Source organism: Homo sapiens, chromosome 7 (assembly GCF_000001405.40).
Source record: "Homo sapiens chromosome 7, GRCh38.p14 Primary Assembly".
NCBI lineage: Eukaryota > Metazoa > Chordata > Mammalia > Primates > Hominidae > Homo > Homo sapiens.
The window spans coordinates 124,059,167-124,059,810 of NC_000007.14; the positions used below are offsets into that span (position 1 = coordinate 124,059,167).

The 644-nt window shown below is 37.4% G+C and overlaps 1 annotated feature.

The window, feature by feature from the left end:
• Positions 303-362: an enhancer, noted in NCBI's record as "active region_26571". NCBI's record gives its function as "activates an Ori minimal core promoter by ATAC-STARR-seq in GM12878 lymphoblastoid cells {active_cell/tissue: GM12878}" and the evidence as "EXISTENCE:reporter gene assay evidence [ECO:0000049][PMID:35858748]".

Consider the following 644-nt stretch of genomic DNA (forward strand, 5'->3'; position numbering starts at 1 on the left):
TCTAACTGCAGGGTGGGGTGTAGCTTGGAGATGAGGTATTTCGACCAGGAAGACTTACTCCAAGTGTAATTTCCTGATCTACCTATACCAGTTTATGGGAACGTACCAAACATTGACACAGTACTTGAAAACTCACTGCAGAGCATTTACAAACATTATTATTTTTGTTGTTTGTTTCCTCTAAATTCTGAGCTTTGTGACGGCAAGATTTCTGTCTAATTTTTGCAGTATTAGGTGTTTCTTTAACGAATTCTTGGATGTACTGGAACATTCTTTTCAGTTCCAAGGAATTTATCTAGTTAAAAGAGATCTGTAGATAATACAAACAAACACCTAAATGGGAGAGGAGGTAGATGTGTAAGCAGTTTGTGTAGACAGAGAAACTGAAACCGAGAAAACAGAAGAGAATGGACATAGACTGAAATCAGAAGTGAAATAAGAAGCTAAAGATCATTACTAAGAAGCATTAGTGAACAGGCCATAAGAAAACAAAGGCCCTATTTGAATCTATTTTTGAATCAACCGAAGTCTGTAGAATAAAATATGAACAGGGATCTGAACACGTTCCTTTTCCTCTGCCTGGGTTATGCTGTTCTCACCTCCTCTAGCTGAGATGTATTTAAGAAAAAGTGAGCACTTTGTGG